The sequence below is a fragment of the Homo sapiens genome, chromosome 9 (assembly GCF_000001405.40).
Source record: "Homo sapiens chromosome 9, GRCh38.p14 Primary Assembly".
NCBI lineage: Eukaryota > Metazoa > Chordata > Mammalia > Primates > Hominidae > Homo > Homo sapiens.
In genome coordinates this window covers 18881330-18907053 of record NC_000009.12, presented here as the reverse complement: position 1 = coordinate 18907053, position 25724 = coordinate 18881330, and the positions used below count along the sequence as shown (strand labels likewise).

At 42.5% G+C, this 25724-nt stretch overlaps 1 protein-coding gene and 1 long non-coding RNA gene across 14 annotated transcripts in view; one reads left to right on the top strand and one right to left on the bottom strand.

Moving 5' to 3' along the window:
• The window catches only part of ADAMTSL1 (ADAMTS like 1), a 1004318-nt gene that overhangs the window by 3897 nt on the left and 974697 nt on the right, over nucleotides 1-25724 (bottom strand). For all 12 annotated transcript variants that reach the window (XM_011518064.4, XM_017015312.3, XM_011518063.3 and 9 more), the window contains 5 exons: nucleotides 19011-19223; nucleotides 17306-17486; nucleotides 14458-14665; nucleotides 1163-1272; nucleotides 142-362 (listed from right to left, as the gene is read on the bottom strand). In XM_011518064.4, the coding sequence (XP_011516366.1) occupies nucleotides 142-362; nucleotides 1163-1272; nucleotides 14458-14665; nucleotides 17306-17486; nucleotides 19011-19223 (933 nt within the window). The remainder of the gene's footprint in view (nucleotides 1-141; nucleotides 363-1162; nucleotides 1273-14457; nucleotides 14666-17305; nucleotides 17487-19010; nucleotides 19224-25724) is intronic.
• Nucleotides 5935-14474, top strand: LOC105375985 (uncharacterized). Of its 2 annotated transcripts, XR_007061427.1 has the most exons (4): nucleotides 5935-6041; nucleotides 9415-9565; nucleotides 13288-13544; nucleotides 13672-14474. It is a non-coding gene; the product is annotated as an uncharacterized LOC105375985 (long non-coding RNA). The 2 variants fall into 2 exon arrangements; XR_007061428.1 differs by lacking the exon at nucleotides 9415-9565 and having other exon boundaries at nucleotides 5938-6041.

Here is a 25724-nt window from a genome sequence, read left to right as displayed (position 1 = left end):
AATGCTCAACTCCACCACCAGCTCACAATCCCTGGGGAAGCTGACCCCATGCCCTATGCTCAGGGTCGGTCCCAGGGACTGCTCTCTGCACTCGATGCTCTATGGGGAATTTGCAGAAGGTTCTTTGGGGTTGGAACATACTGTTTTCACATGGGGTGATGTTGCAGCGCTGCCAGTTGGCAGGCCGGGGCCCCCAGGAGCACAGGTGCTCAGGCACTGCCTTGTTGGTGCGGGCATGCACACACTCCACACGCCGGGACTGGAAGCCGTAGTTGCCACAGGTAGCTGTGCACAGGGTCCACAGGCTGACTCTCCAGTGTACACTGCAGGCCTCTGACCAGCAGTTCTGGGTGCTCACAGGCCTGCAGGAGGATGGTGGCAGGGTTAAGGTTTGCTTCTGTGGGGGCTGAATCAGGGCAGATGTGAAAATAGTGCTGCAAACTCAGAAATGTTAGGTGGTTCCTCAAGAACTTTCAGCGTTACTAGACCTGGATTCTGATTTCTGTGCTGTTACTAAAAGGCCATATGATCTCAAGAAGACTATTTCCTCTTACTGGGCCTCCATCTGCTCTTCTCTGTAATGAATAAGGATCTCACTGCATGACTAAAGAATGAGCTCTCCCCATGTGGACACCGGCAGAGCCTGGTCTCACAGGCTGGGCTCTTAGGTGGGGGTGGTGAGTCCCCGTGCCCCAGGGGGACATCTATAAGGAAGTGTCATAAGGATGGGGACTGGATAGGAATGGTAGGTTGAGACTCAGGAACAAGGGCTCTCATCTTAGCCTAACTTCTAGAGGGAGATCAACAAGAGTGAGGGGCTTGAGCCTTTGAGACTTGGTGGCCGCTGTGCAGACCTCACCTCCTGACCACCCTGGGGCTAGTGCAGGTCTCTCGAGGTATGAGGCCTCTCTCAGAAGAATAACACCCTTGCACTCTTCATCACTAAGAGAGAAAAGCCCAGCCTAGCCCATTAGATAAGCACAAGACCGACACTGAGTCATCTGCCTCTGGGGAGGCCAGTGGCTTGCGGTGAATGGAGATGGAGTCCCAGGCAGGGCTTGGGACTGTGGTAAGTTAGTTGGAGGAGAAACATTCACTCAGCACCATCTTTCCGTGCTGTTGACATGGGGCTGGGAAAAGGAGATTCAGGGCTTTCTCTTACCTCGGAAGAGCACTGCACTGCTCTGATGGTAAGGTGATGCCATCCCGTGTCTGGCAGAAGACTTGTCTGTGTTGCACAGCTAGGTGAGGCCCGATGCAAGGCCCATTGCACTGGAAAGCAGAAAAAGGTAACATACCGCACATTAGCCAAGTCAAGGGTGGAGGCCGCCGTGCTTGGGCTGCATGGCATGCACGATCCTTGTGTAGGTCTTGTTGGAGGCTCTCAGACCATTCATCTTTCCCCTCTTTGGGCTAACTAAAAGACACTCACTGATACGTTTTCTTTATGGGATGGTTAGATTTCCTGTGGTCTGTGGGCATTCTGCCAGCAAATGGCTAATGGTAGTGTAGAACCAGTAAGAGAACGTCAAGCTCCTCTCAGATTAATCATATGAAAGATATTTTGGCATAATATGCTAGGAATGTGGCAGTAGACTTTAGAACTGAAGACCCTTAAATAGCTCCACCCCTTCGGTGCAGAGAGGGTAATATGGTTTATCGTTTTCTTGCTAAAGTCATCCAAATAACCAACTCCATCCTTTCTTACCCTGGCTTCATTTTCTGCAGGTTAAACCTAGGATGACTGAACAGAAAGCAGACTTAGGTATGCAGAGTCCTCCCTCATATTCTCTTGCTATGTGCTCATGGAGATTGTTAAACTTTCCCCAGAGTTCATGGAGCCTGACCCTGTCACAGTAAATACACCTAGCAACAACTGTCTGTGAAATACAAAAGCAGCAGGCCTTTAGCCAACATGTAGCCAACATCTGCTATTTCAGTAAAACAAGAGGATACGCATCCCATGGAGGTCACTTTAGAACAAAGGCTCTTAACTTGGGGGTCTTTGGATCCCTAGGGTTCCACTGGGGGTGGTGCTGGGGTGTTAATCCTTAACAGTATAAGCAAAAGTTTTGTGTTTATTGGCTTTTTTCTAGCAAGAGGTTCCCTCTAGCTTTCATCAAGTACTCAGAGGGATCCATGACCTCAAAGGTTAAGAACCACTGAAAGAGCAGGATTTAAGGTAAAAGTAGCTCTCTTGGGTCAGACAGCTGTGCCCAAGGCGAATTATTGCTCTTCTGGACTCTGAAGGGCCCAGTTTGACACTATTATTCACAAACACATGGAGGGTTGGGGTAAATGTAAAAAAAAAAAAAAAAAAAGCCCCCTTAACACCAATGACTGGGATTTTTTTTAAATCGTAAAATACACATAAACGGACCTTTTTTTTTTTTTTTTTTTTTTTTTTTTTTTTTTTTTTTGAGGCAGGGTCTCTTTCTGTTGCCCAGGCTGGAGTGCAGTGGCACAATCTCAGCTCACTGCAGCCTTCACCTCCCAGGCTCAATTGATCCCCCGACCTCAGCCTCCTGAGTGGCTAAAATTTCTCTCTTTAACCGTATTTTTAAAAATAACTTTTTTTTTCTTTTTCTCAGATGGAGTCTCACTGTCACCAGGCTAGAGTGCAGTGGTGCAATCTCGGCTTACTGCAACCTCTGCCTCTCAGGTACAAGTGATTATCCTGTTTCAGCCTCCCAAGTAGCTGGGACTACAGGCATGTGCCATCACACCCGGCTAATTTTTATATTTTTAGTAGAGATAGGATTTCGCCATGTTGGTCAGGCTGGTTTTGAATTCTTGACCTCAGGTGATCTGCCTGCCTTGGCCTCCCAAAGTGCTGGGAGTCCAGGTGTAAGCCACCGTGCCTGGCCAAAAAATAACTTTTTATTGTGCAGTACAGTGTGCATACAGAAAACTGATTAACAGCCAGGTGTGGTGGTGGATGCCTGTATTCCCAGCTATGCAGAAAGCCGAGGCAAGAGTAAGCTTGAGCCCAGGAATTTGAGGCTATAGTGCACCATGATCATGCCTGTGAATAGCCACTGCACTCCAGCCTGGACAACATAGTGAGACCCCATCTCTAAAAAAAAAAAGTGATTAAAACATGAAGTATATCTCAGTGAGTTACTATAGAGTGAGTATAGTTGACCTTTGAACAACATGGGTTTGAACTGGGCAGGTCCACTTATACATTTTTTTTTTTTTTCAACCAAAGGTCTTGGGATGTGAAACCCATGTATGTGGAGGGCCAACTTTTTGTATATGCGGGTTCTGTGAGATTGACTGCAGGACTTGAGTTTGTGTGGATTTTGATATATGCAGGTGCTCCTGACACCAATCAATCACCTGTGGATACCAAGGGACAACTGTAGAGAAGCAAAGCTAGCTGCATGGATGTCTCTACCCCCTTAGAAGGAAACTGTGGTTGGTTTGATGCTCTACTGTCAACCTTGACATTCATTATAGTTTTTGAACAAGCAGCCCCACATTTTCATTTTGCACTGGGCCCCACAAATTATGTAGCTAGTCCTGTATACACGTGAAGAAATAAAATGCTGTCAGCAACTCAGGAGCCTACTTTGTGTCTACTCTCTAGTCTCTTTCCTCATCTGCACATGTAACCACTGAGACTTAACTTTTAAAACAGTTTAGTTTATGCCTGTTTTTGAAATTTACATAAATGAACCATATTTCATGTTTGTTTTGTATTTGGTGTTTTCTTACTATGTATTGTGTATATAACTGAAGTTCATTTTCATTGATGTATAGCACTTTATTTTATGAACATACCATGATTGAATTTTCCAGTCTACTTTACTTTTGATTAATACTTGGTTTCTTTTTTCTTTTTCTTTTTATGTTTTTGTTTTGAGACAGAATCTTGGAATGCAGTGGTGTGATCTCTGCTCACTGCAACTTCCACCTCCTGGGTTCAAGCAATTCCTGACCCTCAGCATCCCAAGTAGCTGGGACTACAGGCACCCACCAACACACCTGGCTAATTTTTGTATTTTTAGTAGAGATGGGGTTTTGCCATGTTGGCCAGGCTGGTCTTGAACTCCTGACCTCAAGTGATCTGCCTGCTTCAGACTCCCAAAGTGTTGGGATTACAGGTATGAGCCACCGTGCCTGGCCAATCCTTTTTATTTCTGTAAGACTGGTAGTAATGTCTCCATTTTCATTTCTGATTTTAGGAATTCGAGTCTTCTCTCTTTTTTTCTTTGCCAATGTAGCTAAAAGTTTGTCTATTTTGGTTAGTCTTTTTGAAGAATTTACTTTTGGTTTTGCTGAGTTTTCTTTACTATTCTCTAATCTTTATTATCCTCTTCTGCTAGCGTTAGGTTTAGTTTGCTCATTTTCTATAAATTTTTAAGGTGTGAAGTTAAGTTGTTGATTTGAAGTCTTTCTTTTTTAATGTAAGCATTTACAGCCATAAAATTTTCTCTTAGCACTATTTTCTCTGTGCTCCATATATTTTGGTATGTTGTGGTTTTGTTTTCACTTGTCTTAAGGTATTTTCTAATTTTCCTTGTTATTTCTTTTCTGACTGATTTACTGTTTGTGTTTTGTTTGATTTCCACGTATTTGTGAATTTTCCAGTTTACTTCTGCTGTTGACTTCTAGTTTCCTTCCCTGTGGTTGGAAAAGATACTCTGTATACATTCATTCTTATGAACTGTATTAAGAATTATTTTTTGGCATAACATATAGTCCTTTTTTGGATAATTTTTCATGTGCACTTGAGAAAAAACAAGTATTCTGCTGTTATTGGGTGGAGTCCTCTGTATGTCTGTTGCTCCAATTGGTTTATAGTATTGTTCAGTTGCTCTGTTTCTTTACTGATCTTTTGTTTAGTTGTCCTATCGATTGTTGAAAGTGGGTTTCTGAAGTTTCTATTATAGAACTAATTATTTCTCCCATCAATTCTGTCAATGTTTGATTCATATACTTTGGGGCTCTGATGTTTGGTGCATGCATGTTTATAATTGTTATATGTTCTTGGTATATTGACCCTTTTATCACTGTATAGTCTATGTTGTTTGATTTAGTATAGCTACCTCAGCTTTTGGTTTTTATTTACATGGAATAACTTTTTCCATTCCTTCACTTTCAACCTAATTTTTTCTTTAGATCTCAAGCAAGTATTCTGTAGACAGCATAGAGTTGAATCATGTCTTTTTTATTTTTAACATCTACTAGGCCAATCTATGCCTTTGGGGGTTTGATTCCTTTAAAGTAATTACTGATAGGGAAGAACTTACTTTTGCCATTTTATTATTTGTTTTTATGTACATCTTATAGCTTTCCCCTGTAATTCCCTCCACTTATGTTGTCTTTTGTGATTAGTTGTTTTTTTATAGTGACAAATTTTGCTTCCTTTCTCATTCTTCTTTGGCTATACATATTTTCTTTGTTGTTACCATGGGGATTACATATAATATCCCAAAGTTATAACAATCTAATTTGAATTTTGATATCAATTTCATACAAAACTCTACATGTATACCACTCTGTTTCCCATCCCCACTTTACATTATTGGTTTGAGAATTATATCTATATGCTGTATATTCACTAACAGATTTATAATTACTTCTTATGCATTTCTTTGAAATCCTATAGAAAATAAAAAGTGGAGCTATGAAACAAAATAATACTGGTTTTAATGTCTGCCCGTCTATTTACCTTTATTGGAGAGTCTTTATATGTTCAGGTGGCTTGGAGTTAACTAGCATCTTTTTATTATAACTCAAAGGACTCCATTTAATATGTCTTGTAATCAGGAATAGTGGCAACAAGCTCCCTGGAATGTCATAACTTCCCCCTCATTTTTGAAGGACAGTTTTGCCAGATAATTCTTGGTTAATAGTTTTTTCTTTCTGTACTTTATAATTTTTCTTTTTTTTTTTTAAATAAAGAAAAAGGGCTTATTTGGCTCATGGTCTTACAGGCAGTATAAGAAGCATGGCACCAGCAACTGCTTGTGGTGAGGCCTCAGGAAGCTTACAATCATAGAGGAAGGCAAGAGGAGCTGGCTTGTCACATGGTAAGAGACGGGAGGGAGGCACCAGACTCTCTTTTGTTTTTGGCTGTCCTTATATTTTTACATTACCAAGTCTTTGATAGTTCTTTCTTTTCCTTCAACCTTTAAGTTCTGGAGTACATGTGCAGATTTGTGCCATGGTGGTTTGCTGCACAGACCATCCCATCAGCTGGGTATCAAGCCCAGAATCCTTTAGCTGTTTGTCTTGATGCTCTCCCTCCTCCCACCCCCACCCCCACCGCCAATAGGCCCCAGTGTGTGTTGTTTCCCCCCAGTGTGTCCATGTGTTCTCATCATTCAGTTCTCACTTATAAGTGGAAATATACGGTGTTTGGTTTTCTGTTCCTGGGTTAGTTTGCTGAGGATAACGCTTTCAGCTCTATCCATGTCCTTGCAAAGGACATGATCTTGTTCCTTTTTATGGCTGCATAGTATTATGGTTTTATGTACCACATTTCCTTTATCCAGTCTACCCTTGATGGGCATTTGGGTTGATTCCATGCCTTTGCTATTGTGAGTAGTGCTGCAGTAAACATACATATGCATGTATCTTTGTAATAGAATGATTTGTATTCCTTTAGGTGTATACCCAGTAATGGGATTGCTGGGTCAAATGGTATTTCTGCCTCTAGATCTTTGATGAATCACCATACTGTCTTCCACAATGGTTGTACTAATTTATATTCTCACCAACAGTGTGAAAGTGTTCCTTTTTCTCTGCAACCTCACCAGCATCTGTTTCTTGACTTTTTCATAATCGCCATTCTGACTGGCATGAGATGTTATCTCATTGTGGTTTTGATTTGCATTTCTCTAATGATCAGTGATGTTGAGCTTTTTTTCATATGACTGTTGGCCACATGAATGTCTTCTTTTGAGAACTGTCTGTTCATGTCCTTTGCTTGCTTTTTAATGGAGTTATTTTCTTGTAAATTTTTTTAAGTTCCTCTTGACTGGATTTAGACCTTTGTCAGATGGATAGATTGCAAAATTTTTCTCCTATTCTGTAGGTTGTCTGTTCTCTCTAATGATAGTTTCTTTTGATGAGCAGAAGCTCTTTAGTTTAGTTAGAACTCATTTGTCAATTTTTGCTTTTGTTGCAATTGCTTTTGGCATCTACATCATGAAATCTTTGCCTATGCCTATGTTCTGAATGGTATTGCCTCGATTTTCTTCTAGGGTTTTTATAGTTTGGGGTTTTACATTTAAGTCTTTAATCCATCTTGAGTTAATTTTTGTATAAGGTGTGTGGAAGGAGTCCAGTATCAATTTTCTGCATACAGCTAGCCAGTTATCCAAGCACCATCTATTAAGTAGGGAGTCCTTTCTCCATTACTCGTTTTTGTCAGGTTTGTCAAAGATCAGATGGTTGTAGGTATGTGATCTTATTTCTGAGTTCTCTATTCGGTTTCATTGGTCTATATGTCTGTTCTTATACCGGTACCCTCCTATTTTTGTTACTGTAGTATAGTTTGCAGTCAGGTAGTGTGATGCCTCCAGCTCTGTCCTTTATGCTTAGGATTGTCTTGACTACTCGGGCTCTTTTTCAGTTTCATATGAATTTTAAAATAGTTTTTTCTAATTCTGTGATGAATGTCAATGGTAGTTTAATGGGAATAGCATTGAATCTATAAACTCCTTTGGGCAGTATGGCCATTTTCATGATACTGATTTTTCCTATCAATGAGCATGAAATGTTTCTCCATTTGTTTGTGTCCTCTCTGATTTCCTCGAGCAGTGGTTTGTAGATCTCCTTGAAGAGGTCCCTCACTTCCCTTGTTTGCTGTATTCCTAGGTATTTTATTCTTTTTGTAGCAATTGTGAATGGGAGTTCATTCATGATTTGGCTCTCTGCTTGCCTGTTGTTGGTGTATAGGAATGCCAGCAATTTTTGCACATTAATTTTGTATCCTGGGACTTTGCTGAAGTTGCTTATCAGCTTAAGAAACTTTTGGGCTGAGACGATGGGATTTTGTAGATAAAGGGTCATATCATCTGCAAACAAAGATAATTTGACTTCCTCTCTATTTGAATATGCTTGCTTTCTTTCTCTTGCCTGATTGCCCTGGCGAGAACTTCCAATACTACATTGCCTAGGAGTGGTGAGAGAGGGCATCCTTGTCTTGTGCTGGTTTTCAAGGGGAATGCTCTCAGCTTTTTGCCATTCTCTATAATAGCAACTGCTGATTTGTCAAATATGGCTCTTATTATTTTGAGGTGTGTTCCTTCAATATCTAGTTGGAGAGATTTTAAGATGAAGGTGATGTTGAATTTTATTAAAGGGCTTTCCTGTGTCTATTGAGATACTTGTGTTTTTTGTCTTTAGTTCTTCTTATGTGAGGAATGACATTTATTGACCCAACCTTATATCCCAGGGATGAAGCCAACTTGATCATGGTGGATAAGCTTTTTGATGTGGTGCTGGATTTTCCAACTTGGTTCTGTTCTCCCTGTCTCTTTCAAGTACCCCAATCAGTCATAGGTTTGGTCTTTTTACATAGTCCCATATTTCTCAGAGGTCTTGTTGGTTCCTTTCCATTCTTTTTTCTCTATTCTTGTCTGCCTGTCTTATTTCAGAAAGATAGTCATCAAGTTCTGAGGTTCTTTCTTCTGCATGGTCTATTCCGCTATTGATACTTGTGATTGCATTGTGAATTTCTCGTGTTGTGTTTTCCAGCTCCATCAGGTCATTGTGCTCCTCCTCTAAACTGGCTATTCTGGTTACCAGCTCCTCTACTGTTTTATTGTGATTCTCGGCTTCTTTGCATTGGGTTACAACATGCTCCTTTAGCTCAGCGAAGTTTGTTATTACCCACCTTCTTTTTTTGAGACGGAGTCTCGCTCTGTCACCCAGGCTGGAATGCAGTGGCATGATCTCAGCTCACTGCAACCTCTGCTTCCTGGGTTCAAGTGATTCTCCTGCCTCAGCCTCCCGAGTAGTTGGGGCTACAGGTGCCCGCCACAATGCCTGGCTAACTTTTTTTTTTTTTTTTGATATTTTTAGTAGAGATGGGGTTTTACCATATTGGCCAGGCTGGTCTCAAACTCCTGACCTTGTGATCCACCTGCGTCGGCCTCCCAAAATGCTGGAATTACAGATGTGAGCCACCACACCCAGCCTACTATCCACCGTCTGAAGCCAACTTATGTCAATTCAACCATCTCAGCCTCAGCCCACTTCTGTGCCCTTGCAGGAGAAGTGTTGGATTCATTTAGAGGAGAAGAGGCACTCTGGCTTTTTGAGTTTTCAGCATTTTTGTTAATTCTTTCTCATCTTTGTGGGCTTATCTACCTTTGTTGAGGTTGCTGACCTTTGAATGGAGATTTTGTGGGGTCTTTTTCGTTGATGATGTTGTTATTGTTTTCTATTTAATAGGCCACTCTTCTGTAGGGCTGCTGCAGTTTGCTGGGGGATCACTCCAGGCCCTAGTTGCCTAGGTTTTCCCCTTACCTGGATGTATCACCAGTGAAGTCTGCAAAACAGCAAAGATGGCAGCCTGCCCCTTCCTCTAGGAGCTCTGTCCCAGGTGGGTACTGACCTGTTGCTGGCCCAGATGCTCCTGTAGGAGGTGTCTGGAGACCCCTGTTGGGAGGTCTCACCCAGTCAGGAGGGATGGGATCAGGAACCCAGTTAAAGAATCAGTCTGGCTGTTTTTTTGGTAGAACAGCTGTGCTGTGTTGTGGGGAACCCTTCCTTGTCCAGACTGCCTGGACTCTCCTGGCAGTCCTGGGAAGGCTGAGTAACTCAAGGGCAGAGACTCACTGCCCCTTCCCCCGGGGGCTCTGTCCCAGGGAGAGATCAGACATCTGTTAGTATAACCCAGGTTGGAGTTGCTGAAATTCCCGCAGGGAGGCCAGATGGATCAGGGTCCCACTTAAACAATCATTCTGGCCACTATCTGGCACAGCAGGTGTGTTGTGAGGGACTTCTCCTCACCTGGGCTGCCAGGACTCACTGGAACTGGCAGGCTAGAACAGCTGGGTTGACCTAAGCACAGAAATGGTGGCTACCCCTCCCCCAGGAACTAATCTGTCTCAGGCAGTCTCCAGCCTGATGCACTCGGCAGGCAGCTGGAATTCCAAGCCAGTGGGTCTTAACTTCTGAGGTGCCATGTTAAGTGGGGCCTGCAGAATGATGCTGCTTGTCTGCTGGGATTCCCAGGGCCTGAGTCTGAAAGACTCCTGGGTCTCTGTGTGAGCCTGAGCAACTGCTCTGCTGAGACTGCACAGCTCTGTGTGTCAAACCCAAGGCCTTGGTTGCATTGGCTCACTAGGGGATCTCCTGATCCACTGATTGCAAAGATATGTAGGAGAAGTGTGGTTTCCTGGGTGGGGTTGTGCAATCACTTACCACTTCCCTTGGCTGGGGGGTGAAGGTTTTTTGGCTCTGTGCTGCTCCCAGGTGGGCCAGTGGCCTACCCAGCTTTTCTTCATTCTCCATGGGTCAAGTTGATTGCCTAGTCAGTCCCAATGAGAGAACCTGGATATTTCAGATGAAGGTGCCAAATTGACTCCCCATTTTCATTCCTCTCTGTGAGAGCTGTGGACTGCAGCTGCTTCTAATCAGCCATCTTGGCCCCTCCCCCTCTTTCTGCACTTCAAATACATAATTCCACTGCCTTCTGTCCTGCAAGGTTTCTGCTGAGAAATCAGTTTATAAAGTTATTGAGAATTTCTTGTACACAATGAGTTGCTTTTCTTGCTGCTTTCAAGATTCCCTCTTTGTTTCTTAAGACTGATTTTAATCTTAGTGTGGGTCCCTTTGGCTTTTTCAACTTAGAGTTTGTTTAGCTTCTTGGATTTGTAGATTCATGTCTTTCATCAAATTTGGAAAGTTTTTGGCCATTATTTCTGCAAATAATCTTTCAACTCCTTTCTTCTTCTGAGACTCTCAAAATGTATATGTTGGTTCACTTGAGGGTGTCTCACAACTCTTTTAGACTCTGTTTGTTTATTTTCTTCTATTTTTATTGGCCTATCTATCTTCAAGTTTGAAAATTCTTTCTGCTGCCTGCGAAATCTGCTGTTGAATCCCGCCAGTAAAATTTTCAATTCAGTTCTAGTACTTTCAGCTCCCAATTTAGCATATTTAAGATAGTTGTTTTAAAGTGTTTGTCTTTAATGTTCAATGCCTATGTTTATTTTCTTCCTTAAAATGGGCCATATTTTCCCATTTCTTTGTATGGCTTGTGATTTTATTGCTGAAAATTGGGCATTTGAAAAATAGCCATTTCTCCTACTCTCTGTAGACTGGCTCTGTGATTGGGCAATCCATCACTGATTAGCTGGGTATACTCTGAGCATAGTAATCAGTCTGAGGTGAAAGCGTAAGGTCTTCTCAGATCTTTCTTTTATGTGGTGTGTATGGGCCTTCTCCATATACATAGCTGCTTTTGAGTGTCTTAATTTCCCAGAGTCTCACTCAAGGCTGTCCTTGGGACTTTAGAGCGTCAGTTGCATAGAGGGTCAGTCTCCACCCATAATCTCTTTTCCCAGGTGTCTGCAGGTCTGTGTTCCTTCTGCAGATTTCACAAGTAGTGGCTGCCACGTTGTTAAGATCAAAACCATGCCACATTGGGGGGAGGGGGTGGGGCAAGGATGAACGAAAATACCAGGAAATTTCCTATCATCTTAAAGATGGCTGTTTCTTTATTGGCTGTTTGCTTGGTTGCTGTAGAACTTGGGCTGTTTTCCAGAGCACTTATAAGGTTAGTTTAGCCAGTGTCTAGTTGTTTTTTTGATGCTTCTATAAGAGAACATGGACTTGGAGTGTCCTAATTTGCCATTTTGCTAATGTCCCTTGACTACACTGGGAATTCTTGAAGGAGTAATGTGTCCCTGGAAGCACTTATTTCCTCCACTCTCATTTGTAACTAAACCTATTGCTGGTTTGATTTCAGTGCCTACTTTTACACTGAAACTGCCATTCACAGAGTTACAGGTAACTGCCTGTCAGTCAAGTTTGAATATGCACCGTATGTATAAAATAAGGCCAATGCTTAATTTGTATTTTGTTTATTCTGTTGGATGTATTTTTATACCATTGACTTCCTTCCTTCTGGAAAAAGCTCCTCCACTGGTCTCTGTGAATTTTCCTACTCATTAGGTTAATCTTTTTCCTCTTTTTCCCCCAGTTTAATTAGTGTTGTGTTCCTCAGGGTTCTGTCCTGTGCCTTTTCTTAATCTGATCCTTTCCCTCTCTCTGGGTGATACCATCTATGATTCTTAGCCACCACTTGTATACTAATGACTTTCAAATTGATAGTGTTTAGCATAGCTCTCTTTTAAGTCCCAGACCTATATGTGCAACTACTTAATGAGCATCTGTACTTAGATATCTCATACTAAACATGTCCCAAACAATTCCATATAGCAACAATCCACCCTCTTTTTTTTCTGTATTCCTATCTAGTTGTTCAATTCAGAACCTCCAGTCAAATTTTGACTTCCTTCCTTTCTCTCATCCCTCATATCCAATGGATCATGGAAGCCATGCGAATCACGCTTATAAAGAGGAAATGGATTCCTCTCCATTGGTACTGCTCAATACCTTCATTCTCATCACCATAATTGCTCACCTAGATTAGGTTTCTCTTTCTGTAGTCCTTTCACTTGCCAATTTGATCACTATACTGCAGACAGCATACCTTTTTCAAAAAAAAAAAAAAAAGACAAGGTTTTGCTCTGTCACCCAGGCTGGAGTAGTGAAAGTGGTATGATCACAGCTCGTTGCAGCTTCAACCTCTTAAGTGATCCTTCTGCCTCAGCCTCCTGAGTAGCTGAGATTACCGGCATGAGCCGTTGTGCCTGGCCAGACAGTAATCTTAAAAGTCTGATTGTGCCATTCCTTCTTAAAAATCTTTGTAGTTGCACTTACAATAAAATCCAAATTCTTTGTACAGCATACAAGACCCTTTTATGGTCTTGCACCTGCTTTCCAGGCCACATTTCTATTTCTATTCTGTCACCTCATTCTCCTGCAAATATTGTGGGCTGCTTTTCCCTTCATTTCTTCACACATGCTTATATGGGACACATTCCCCTCCCAAGACAGGTGTCCCATAAATGTATGTTGGATTAAAAGGAGAAAGCTGAATTATTACATGAAGCCAGATTGTTGGAGCTAAGAAGGTGGTCTTAGTTTTACTTGGACTAAAATCAGCATGGTTTTCATAGACTTCATGAAGGTAGGCAGAAGAAAAAACATTTGCATAACACTATTCCAAAAGGATTTTTTTGTGTCTCACAGGAGTGGAATGTGGAGGTTTGAGAAGCATCTACAGTTTGAAGCACAATATCAGCAATATTATCAGCAGAAAAACATCAACAGGATTGTGAGATGAAGTATTTGTCTGCAATCTGTAATGCCTCAAGCCTTGCTACTCTTTCAAGCGTAGCCCTTGGACTAGCAGCACTGATGTTACCAGAAGTTTTGAGAAATTCAGCATCCCCAGTTCTACCTCAGACCTACCATATTAGAATTTGCATCTTTAATAAGATTCCCAGGTGATTCACATTAAAGCTCGACACGTACTGGCCTGGAGGGTTGTAGAAAAGAGGAGGAGGGGGTGAATTTTTTGAGGGGAAGGAATGCAGAAAGGGAGCAAGACCTATGTATTTTTCTCTCTGTTAGGAAACATAATCACTGGTGCACCATACGTCCCTCCTTGAGTGACCTTGATGACACAGTGCAGAAACATCTGTCATTTGTAGCCGGATCTGTTTGCTATTGTAATTTTACAAACTGCCAATAAGCCTCGAGGGCCTGGAACCAGAGCTGTCTTGAGATGAATGTGACCTATGAGAAGCAGGCTTTTCCAGGTAGGAGAAAGACGATATTCCCCCTGGCAAAGGGAGCTCATGCCTGTTTGATTATGAAGCATATACATTATGTCACTGGAAATAAGGAGGGGTTAGTAGAAGCTCCAGAAAGGAGTCTCCAGCTAGGTATGTTGATTGGCTAGCATTGAGCGGTAGCTTCAACTTACCTGGGACACAAATGGCTTACGAGATGGAACGTGAACTCTATGGCCAAAAACATTTGATTTTCATTAAAGGTGGCCACAGTGTGTTAACTTAATAGAAAGTCGCCGGTGATTGTTTTCCAAAGGACACACCTGGGGGTGGGAGTGGAGGACATAAATGTAATAATGTATAGATGGCCAATTATAAGATGTTTTGAGTTGCTGACTGCCTAAAAACATTCATTCAATCACATTGGTTCATAGAATTACACAAAGAATTAAAAGCCTGCTGCTCTGGGGGTGTCTCAGCTGGACAACCCACAAAAGCTATGCCTGGCCAATCAGAATGTGAAAGGAGGAGGTGGCAGTGGCAGTGATAGCATTTCACTTCCTACTGTGGCAGGGTCCATTCCTTTAGATTTAGCTTTCAAATAACAACCTCTCTGGCTCCTCACCTGGCCCCAGCTGGAGAAGGCCCACTCCACACACAGCTGCTGGTTACAGGCCTGGGTGTCCACAGGCCGCTTGGCGACCTGGGTGCACATGTCATTGGACACAGGGGTGGAGATCCCAGAGGCTTTCAGCTTTTGACAGGTCACCCTGCGGGTCTGGACACCTCCCCCACAGCTCCGGGTACAGGCAGACCAGGAGGTCACCATCCACCTGGGGAGAGGAAGAAGTGTCAGGAGAGCCCTAAAGGGACAGGCCCTGGGGAAAAGAGACCTCCTCCCCACCGACATCCCTGCTCTTGCCACTAATTTGGGGCCAAGGCCCTTTTTACAGTATTTACTTGGAAAGATGATTGATAGGCTGAAAAATGACTCCTCCAAAAGATATCCATGTCAAATCCCTAGTGCCTGTGAATGCTATGTGGCAAGGTTCTTTCCAGATGTAATTATGGACTTGAGATAAGATTATCTTGGATTATCTGGCTGGGCCCTAAATGCCTGCCATAACAAGTGTTCATACAGAGAGGTGGAGGAGGAGACAATGTGACCATGAAGGCTGAATGTGGAGTGATGTGGCCATAAGCCACCTGGGGCCACCAGAAGTGGATTCTCTCCTAGAACCTTTGGAGGTGATTTGGAGGTGATGTGATCCTCCTGATTGATAGATACCTTGATCTTGGACTTTTGGCCTTCAAACTTGTAAGAGAATAAATTTGTTGTTTTGTAACTGCAGTGTTGGTACTTCCTAAAGGAGATCCAAGCATGTGACAGGAGAGACAGTTGTTCTAGGGAAGTCAGATCCAAATTCGTGTCACCTCCTGACCTGGAAAGTAATCTGGGCCTCACTGAAGTCAAGGTTTTGTCTGGTAGTGCTCGGTATACTTCCTGCTGCACATTTTGGTCAATCTCTCAGAAACAGGTAAAGTTCCATCTCTTGGCGTGACCGCGTGACAGTCCATAGGTCTTATACCTCTCAGAGGGCTGCATACATGGTAGAAATAGTTGTTCTCTGAATGTTAGGTTCCAAAAGTGAGACTGTGACCGATGGACTTTTCTCACAAAGCCCACCTGTAAACTAGGAACACTCGGAAATCCTCGGTCCATATACAAACAGGCAGGGATTCTTGTTGCATGTGTGCACCCTGTGGTAATTCTCAAAGAGAAGGAGAGAGCTTGGGGAAATCGCGAGACTGTTGCTCATGTAATCTAGAACAAAAAAATCCCACTCTTTGGTTTTAGTGATGGAGAAAATTTATCTAACAAAACGGTTAAAAAACAGCTACCTGGGTCACAGCGGGGTTACCCAGTTGTATCTCAAAGAGACAACCAGGGCAACACTTGTTCACATGCAAAGAAGGATACTAAGTGTTCCAAATGCCTGGCAGGCAAACGGGTCAAAGGTGAACCTATGGCTTCGTCCTAGCCAAGCGGCGCCACATCTGGCTTTCAGGAGAGGCATGTAGCAGGGAAGGGGAGCAAATTCCTCCTAAATCTGGACTGTGACTTACTTAGTTTTGTGGCCACTTCCCTGCTCTTTTGCCTTGTGGAGGGATGACTGAACGCAGATTTCCAACCCACAGGAGCAGAGCCACTTAGGAAGCAGGCAAGAGGTGTTTAAAAACTCCCGGGGGCATTGAAATCCAAGAAAACAGAGCCATTATTTCATTTGCAGAAGTAAATTAAGCTGATTGACTCTGACCATCACCAAATCAAGTCAGAAAGTTCCTGGCACATCAAAGATCTCTTCTTCATTTTGCACAGCTTGGCAAGGGCAGTTTTCCAGCCTCTTATATCCCTGGTGAATGTCAGGCCTGCATTTCCATCAACTTTTATTTCCAAATATACGTTTCAGCAATTTTTCAGGAGCTGGGGTGGGGGGGGTTTGAGAAAGGAGCGGGCCAGGCTATGTTACAGTTCAGGAAGGGTATAAAAGGACATTAATCATTCCTGTGGAAACCTTCCCGTCAGCAAGTCAAACTGCTGATATTAATGAGCATGTTTCATATTTCATCGAATCTCTCCTGGTTTCAGCTGCTCCTTATGACTCAGCTGGCAAAACAGAAAGCAGTTGCCTAAGTATTGTATGAAAGTCCTACAGATAGGTAGTAAAGGGGCATTTGAGAGCTGAGCCACATCCCCCCAGGCTCTCAGCACTGCACCAGTGCCAACTCCAAGCCCATCTATTATCCATTTAACTACTGCTGAGGACAGAGGATGAGGTGCACAGGGGGACTCATAGCCTCTTGAAGCATAAGGAAGGTGGCAGAGGCTTTAGGTGTCACTCTGGGCCACACAAGGGACCCAAATGCAGAGCATGAGGCTACTGTCAGAAACAGAGATTTATTCCAACTTTAGTGAGACGCAAGCCTTTGTAGAAAAGAGGAAGATAAGATTTCCCCAACTGAACTGGAGTACTGATTAGCATGGGTATTTAAGGTTAGACTTGGAGGGTGGGCAGAACCCAGTAATCGTTGTTTCCTCAGCCCTTCGATTGAAAAGACATTGCTTTCTACAAACAACTCAGAGTCAGTTGATTACTGTAGGATGGGGGGCGTCTATGGCTTGCCAGGGCCTGGGAAGCTCTTGCTCCCTGAACAGACCCCGTTAGGGACTTGGGAAACCTGGCTGGCCATTAGTGGGGTGAGGAATAAACAAAGCTGAGAGAGGTGGCATAGTCTGAGGATATTTTCAGCAAGGTGGAGAGGCCTGATAAGCCTGTGCCTAGAGGGAAGAACAGCTCCTTGGCTGGCATCTCTCCCTGCACAGTGCTACTGAAGGGCTGGCCACTGACTTCGCTAACAGGGAGGGCTCCTCCTAGGGTGGGGAGGTCTGAGCCAGTGTCCGCTGCACTCACCGAGAAGGGCAGTCTCTCCGGTTGCACGCGATGGGCTGCACCGCAGGGCGAACCTTCCCTGCGCAGTGGGCAGGGTTGACCTCCGTGCTGTTCAGCAGGCACCTCAAGCGGGGCTGCTGAACCCCCCGGTTACCACAGGAGGCTGAGCAGGTTGCCAGTCTGTCCACAGACCACCAGTAATCTGTCATGGGAGGAGGAGCAGTGTAGAAAAGAATATAGCATAATTGCCCACACTCTGAATTCCTTCTGAGCAGGGCAGGGAGAAGGTGACAGGGGTGGATTTGTGGCCTGAAGGAGAGGAGCTATTATAAATGAGGCCCTGCTCCTCGCAGGGAACCATTCCCGAACTATTTGGGGAAGTCACGTGGTCTCTAGGGGCCTCAGCCATGAAATGAATACAGTGAACCTCACCTCACCAAGTTATTGTGGGGACAGGAAATAATGAAAGTAAAGTAGCTCAGTGTCTGACATAAAAGAGTGCACAATTAATGCCACAGGTCATCTTATTTTTAAAGATATTGGCTACAGTACTTTTTTTTCCTCATTGGTTCACCAGAAAGTGACTTTGTTTTCTACAAAGATATATAAATATAGCAAATATTTAACCATCACAGTACAGATTTGAGCTGGACTTTGCAAATGTTACCCAAAAGAGCCTATGCAGAGAGTGCTTATTTACATGAGACAATGATGTCAGTAAGAAAGCCAGTTGCTTTGGGGGTCTGGGACTCACTGATAGGTGAGATGGTAAATTTTGAGTGCTTATTTGCAAAGTTGCATATTACAAGTCTTGCAAATAGGCCCTGGCTTCTGGTTTTCAGCAGAGGCTAGCTGGCTCCAAGAAAATTTGTTTTCTTGTCTGAAAACATTTGTTTTCCTGTCTGAAAAGCCAAATGGTGAAGGAGGATATTTAAGAAGAAAACTTAACTGCTTAGAAAAATTTCCCTCCTTTCTTCATCTTTTTGTGCCGTATTGGCACAAAACTCTGTCCCTTCCCATCACATCCTTCATTTTGGAATACATCACACATAGGCCACAGGTCGAACAAGCCTATGGAAAACACTATAAGAAGGCCAGTTTCCCTCTTTCCCACTGATTGGGCCTCATTTACAACTCTTTCTTGGTGCAGTGAAGGCCAGGCCCCACCCAAAGGCTTTCTGACCTGCCTGTTTTCCTGGAAGGTTAATGCATGAGCCATGTGGGCTTCGCAGTCTGTTCTTTGCCAGGGCCAAATGAAAGGTGCCTGGAAAGCCCTCAGCTTATGACTAAAGCTGAAGACTCTTCAGAATGATCAGCAGGCACTGGCATCAGGCCTGTCTCTCCAGGCAGGAGGCAGTAACCAAACAGGCTACTCTGTGTGTGTGAGATCTGTACTAGTTAAATCAGCATAAAAGAATCACATCTGACTTTGATATATAGTGGTGTTTCCATGGTCCTGAGCAACAGCAGCATTAAAAGCAGAAGGGCCTATTTATGAAGGCAGCACTGGCTTTTCCAGGTTCTGCTGGGATGGGGCATGATGGCTCTTCTGAAGGGCCATGTTGACAGAAGTAGGGTCTCACTGTATGGAAACATGGCATGGCTTTGGTTTTCATGCCTTGAGTACCACTGGAGATCAGAAATCTCTTTGTTCTGCTAGATAGTTAGATTCCCAAGTGGGCTTTCTTGTTCAAGTCCAGTATGCAAAGTCTGCAGGGTTTCTTACCTTGGATCACTAAAGATGCCTTCTGCATGAGCACCCCTGCCTCATTCTGAGCAAGGCAGCTGAATTCCCCTTGAGACCCACCGCTAAGGTTTGCAACTTGAAGGATCTGTCCAGCTGCCAAGATGTGATGCGTCAGTCCTGTGGCAGTGACAATTGGCTGACCACCATGAAACCAGGTGATATTAGGGACAGGGTGACCTTTGATGGGGCAGCCTAGAAGGAGAGGAAAAGAAGTAAGCCTTAGTAAAGCCATAAGGAACACATTGCTGGTGCACTGGTTTACTGTCTGTGTGGCTCTAGAAATTGTACACACAATGTGGCCTTGTCTGTGGCATTTTTATTACATTTGCCATTCCTGAGCAAACAGGAGATGTTTTTATTCTCTGAATTTCTAGGAGGGTGACTATGATTCATTCAATTAAGTAAAATTACTGGATAACAAAAGTACCTGTTTCTTTCTGTTTATGTCCCTATACTAACTTTAAAAAAAGATACAATTAATCTTCATTCATTGAACAGTTTTTTCAAGGTAAGTAGTTCTTATAGTGATTTTTTTCTGACAGAAATTCCTTCTTCAAATACGATATGTTGGGAAAAAATACCATACTATATAGTAATAGTTAAGAAACAAACTTGATTTGGTAAAAGTATCATATTCCCTCATTTTACTTGTTATGAGATTTTTCCAATCAGAGACTAGGAAAGCAATTTTAGACATGGATCTTTTTTCTGCATAAGGCTTTGTCTTCTGAAGGCTTTTGCCAAGCCTGCACTGGACATGTACAATATTATACACATCTACAGAGCCATCAAACATATTTTGATATAATAAACTCAAATGTCTACCCAAGACTTTGTAGCATAGAATCGGTAAGATAAACAGGTTGCAGTTGTGAGAGAAATTCCTTGAAGGTCAGGGTACTTGCTGAATTTGCTGTTGTGCCCCAGCAACTTACCTTCCACAGAGAATTTCTTTGGAAGTGTAAAATGCAGTAAGTCATTGAAAATTAAAGAATCTATAGATTTTTTTCCCCCTCAGTTCACTTAGAAAAACATCTGTTTGGTACCTACTGCTCTGGGGACAGTTAAGATAATTAAGACTATCTTCCCTCTTCTAGGGAGATCTCAGCTGGTATAAGATTTTTAGAAAGTACACTCATAAAACTGCAGATGCAAGGCAGGAGATGATGAGATACGAGACACAAAGATGGTGCTATAGTCTGAGGGTTTGTGTATACCCCCTAGATTCATATTGAATTCTAATCACCAAGGTGATGGTATCAGAGGGTGGGGCCTTTGGGAGGTGATTCTGTCACATGGGCTCTGTCCTCACGAATGAGATTAGTGTCCCCATAAAAGAGGCCCTGGAGAGAGCTGCCTTGGCCCTTCCACCATGTGGGACACAATGAGAAGCTGCCATCTATGAAGCAGACAGCAAGCCCTCACCGATATCAAATCTGCGGCTGCACTGATCTGGGACTTGCCAGACTCCAGAACTGTAAAAAACAAATTTGTTTTGTTTGTTTATAAGCCACTAGTTTTTATATGTCTGTTATATCAGCCTGACTGGACTAAGACAGGCGGCTACCCTCTGTGGATGTGTGGGTGCCTATGCAACTATAGAGAGAAGGGATTTTTTCTAATGTTTCATTTCTTTGTTGACAGGGTCTCGCTCGGTCACCCAAGCTGGAGTGCAGTGGTGCAATCGTAGCTCACAGCAACCTCCAACTCCCAAGTAGCTACAATTACAGGTGTGCACCACCATGTCCAGATAATTTCTGTGTGTGTGTATGTATGTATATACTTGTATGTATGTATATGTATGTGTGTGTATATATATATATATATATATATATATATATATATATATATATATACACATACACACTCACATGTATATATACACATACATATTTTTAAGTAGAGACAAGGTTTCACCATGTTGGCCAGGCTGTTCTTGAACTCCTGGCCTCAAGTGATCTGCTCGCCTCAGCCTCTCAAAGTGCAAGGATTACAGAAGTGAGCCACCACACCTGGCCTAGCATTTCTTGTTTTTGAATCCAGAGATAGAACTGTTAAAATTTACACAAGATTGGGAATCCCTAGAAATCATCTAGTTCACCACTAGAGGAAGAAACAGAGGCCTAGAGAGGTTAGGAGACCTTCCTGAGATTGTGCGGCAGGCCTTCTATCCGACGCCTGGACCGTGTTCTTTCCCCCATACCTGCTACTTGTTCAGCTGGGCACCTTGCTACCTCCTTCGTTTCTTTGCTCACTTATTTTTTTCCCCTTCATTTTTGTTTTTCCTGAGGTAGTAGTGAGAGGGTAGGAGCAGACTATTTGGAAGGGAGGGTTCTAAAAAGATAACCTAAAAATGGACCCCTGGAAGCTCAGTATGGGATGTAGTGTTATATGATCCAATTCTTCACTCCTTCATGTATCCGCTGACTAGCCCATGCCACTTGACAGTGCCCTCCCATGAGAAAGCGGTTATACTTCCCCCTCTTGGCTTTGGCCATGTGAGTTATTTAGATGACAAAAATGAGACAGATGTTACAATAACAATCAGAAAAGAAAAACAAGTTCACTCACAACAGCATCAAAAAGAAGAAAATACTTAGGAATAAACTTAACCAAGGAGGCTACTATGGTTCAGATATTTGTCTCCTCCAAAACTCCTGTTGAAATTTAATTGCTATTGTAACAGTAGTAAGAGGTGATCAGGCCATGAGGGCTCTGTCCTCATGGGTTGGATTAATGCCATTATAAAAGGGTGAATTCAGCCCTTATTTGTCTCTTTGTGCTTTTGAAGAGCATGTGAAGACAAAGCTTTCCTCCCTTTTGGAGGATGCAAAGGAGGACTGTGAGCCACTAAATTTCTGTTCATTATAAATTACCTAGTCTCAGGTATTCTGTTATAGCAGCACAAAATGGACTGAGAGACAAAAATCTTGAACACTGAAAACGACAAAATACGGCTGAAACAAATTAAAGAAGATATAAATTCATGGGAGGACATCTCATGTTTACGGATTAGGAGACTTAATACTGTTAGGATGTCAATACTACTCATAGTGATCTACAGATTGAATGCAATCCCCATCAAATCCCAATGATATATTTTGCAAATAGAGAATCTCATGCTAAAATTTATATGGAATATCAAAAACCCAGAATAACTAAACAACCTTGAAAAAGAAGAACAAAGAGGATTCATAGTTCCTGATTTCAAAACTTAATACAAAGTGATAGTAATCAAAACAGTACTGTACTGGCATAAAACAGACACAGAGAACAAAAGAACAGAATAGAGACCGGAAACAGACTTTTAAATATGTAGTCAAATGATTTTTGACAAGGTTGCTAAGACCATTCAATGGGGAAAGGACAGTCTTGCCAACAAATGGTTCTGGGAAAATGGATATCCATATGTGAACAAATGACTTACACTATATATAAAAATTAACTCAAAATGGATGAAAGACCTAAACCTAAGAGCTGAAAGCATAAAACTCTTAAAAAAAATCGCAGGGGAAAACTTTAATGACATTGGGTTTGGCAATGATTTCTTAGATATGACACTAAAATATAGGCAACAAATGAAAAAATAAAGTGGATTCCATCAAAATTTAAATCTTTGACACATCATAAGACACCATCAAGTGAGTGAAAAAGCAACTCACAGAATGAGAGAAAATATTTGCAAATCATAGATCTGATGAGATTAATATCCAGAATATAAAAAGAACTCTTAAAATTTGATAACTAACAAACAACCCGGTTCAGGCAAATGCCCAAATAAGCAAAGGACTTGAGCAGACATTTCTCCAAAAGAGATACATGAATGGCCAATAAACACATGAAAAGATGCTCAATTAATCATTAGGAAAATGCAAATTAAAGCCACCATGAGTTACCACTGCATACCCACCAGGATGGCTATTATTAAAAGAAACCCAAAATATAAATGTTTGCAAATATGTGAAAAAATTGGAACCCTTGTGCATTGCTAGTGGGAATATAAAATGGAACAGCTGTTGTGGAAAACAGTATGGTGGCCCCTCAAAAAATTAAATATAGGATTATCATATGCTCCAGCAATTCCACTTTAGGGTATATATTCAAAAGAATTGAAAGCAGGAACTTTAAAAGATATTTGTACACCTATGTTCATAGCAGCATTATTCATAATACCCAAAAGATTTAAACCACTCAAATATCCAATAATCAATGGGTAGATAAACAAAATGTGGTATATATGTATGATGGAATATTATACAGCCTTAAGGAATGACATTCTGACATATGCTACAACATGGATGAGCCTTGAAAACATTATGCTAAATGAAGGAAGTCAGATATAAAAGGACAAATATTGTATGATTCCACTTATATGAGGTACCTGGAGCAGCCAAATTCATAGAAACAGAAAGTGGAATAGTGGCTACCAGAGGCTGGGAGAAGGGAGGGAGGAGGAGTGCAGAGTTTCAGTTGATGAAAAAATTCTGGAGACAGTGATGATAGCTGCACAACAAGGTAGATGTATGCAATGGCATCAAACTGTGCACTTAAAAAGAGTTGAAATTGTAAATTTTATGTATCTCTTACCACAATAAAAAACTGAGGCAGAGATGATAATGTACCAGTTCCAAACCTAGACCACAAGAGATCTTGGGAGCTTTTGCTTGTGCTGTTGTGCCTTTGCCATTATATTAGAAAGTCATGCCGGGACTGGCCTGATGATCCCAAGAGGAAGATGAGAGAAATGTGGAGAACAGTCAAGTCACTCCAGCCAAACCCAGCTTAGATCAGCTGAACTAAGTAAGATCAGTAAGAACAATTGATTGTTGTTTTAAGTCACCAAGTTTGGGCTTTTTAAAATGCAGCATGTGTATGTGTGAGGTGATAGCTAACTGATACATTTAGGGAGAGGTATCTTCCAGCTTTTCCACTTGGCCAATGGATTGAAGGCCTGGAATAGGACAGAGCTGCTACTTGTGTGCTGACCCAGCTCTTACCTGACCTATATCCTCTTTTTTTTTTTTTTTTTTTGAGGCAGGCTCTCATTCTGTTGCTCAGGTTGGAGTGTAATGGTGCAATCATAGCTCACTGCAATCTTGAACTCCTGGGCTCAAGTGATCCTCCCACCTCAGCCTCCCAAATAGCTAGGATTACAGGCATGTGCCACCACACACAGCTAATTAATTTTTTTAGTAGAGATGGAGTCTTGCTATGTTGCCCAGGCTGGTCTTGAACTCCTGGCCTCAAGTGATCCTCCCTCCTCAGCTTCCCAAAGTGCTGGGATTACAGGTGTGAGCCACCTTGCCTGGCCCTGTATCACCTTATTCAAGGTACTCAGGAGAAGCAGTCTCACCACAAGCTCCTGGCGGCATCTAGGCATCTACATGCCACGAGGTCCATGGTGGTGTCACTGCACTCCTGTTCTGAAATGAGTGTAGAAATGGCCTTGGGGAGAGAAGTCAGTCCACTGGGGATCTCCTGGGATCCGGGCACCTATACCCTCCAACCCTAATTGTAGCCTGGAGTAAAATGCTCGTTCCATTTTCCAATAAAAGCCAGGAAAACTATATGTGTATGAAGGCAAATATACTTTTGAAACTGCAGCTGAAACAAATAAAGCTTTTTAGCCTGACTGAAATAGGCAAATGCGTGTCTCCCTATCACATCTACTTTGAAGGAAAAAAAAAGGGCCATATGCTATCAAGGTGCTGGCTCCATGAATCCTGTTTGGTCAGCCCTGGTGAGGCTGATGAGATTTTAGTCGGTAAATATGAACCTTACTACTCCTAAGCACATTTGTCAGGGAATCTTTCATATTTTCTCATAGTCCTCATTTTCCCAACTGCCTTAGGATTTTCTGAGAGAGTATTTAGGCAGAAAAAGGAGTGGTAGCAGCCCCTAGGTTGGTCACTATGGCTGAAGAACTTATCTGGGAGCTAGAAACCTTAGTCAGCTAAATAAGAGGAATACTAAATAAGAGGAATATTTGCACAAAAATCACATCCAAATTCCTCCCTCCTCCTTGGAATCAGAGGCCATAGTGAGTAGCCAGGAAACCTCTCTTGGCCCATCTGAGCCTTGGGTCTTGGTCTTGTTCCCAGGGCCTCCCAGCCTGCTATTCCTCGTGCAGATGAGAATAGGGTAGAGATGCTTCGAAGGGCAGGCCTGCCATGGATGTGGAGTTCTTGGAACTCAAGACCCAGGAGAAGCAACTAACAGGCCTTTGAGAAGCTGCCTTCATAATACAGGCATACCTCACTTTATTGTACTTTGCTTTATTGCACTTCATGGATCCTGCATTTGTTACAAATTGAAGGTTTGTGGCAACCCTGTGCTAAGCAAATCTACTGGCATGATTTTCTAACAGTGTGTGCATACTTTATGTCTCTGTGTAAAATTTTCAAAACTTTTCATTATTATCTGTTACGGTTATGTGTGATCAGTGATCTTTGATGTTACTATTGTAATTGTTTTGGGGTACCATGAACCATGCTCATATAAAAAGATGAACTTAATTGATAAATGTTTGTATTCTGACTGCTCATCTGAATGGCCATTTGCCCATCTTGCTTCCTCTCCTGGGGCCACCTCCCTATCCCCTGAGATGCAGCAATATTAAAATTAGGCTAATTAATAATCCTACAGTGGCATCTAAGTGTTCAAGACAAAGAAAAAGTTGTACATCTTTCACTT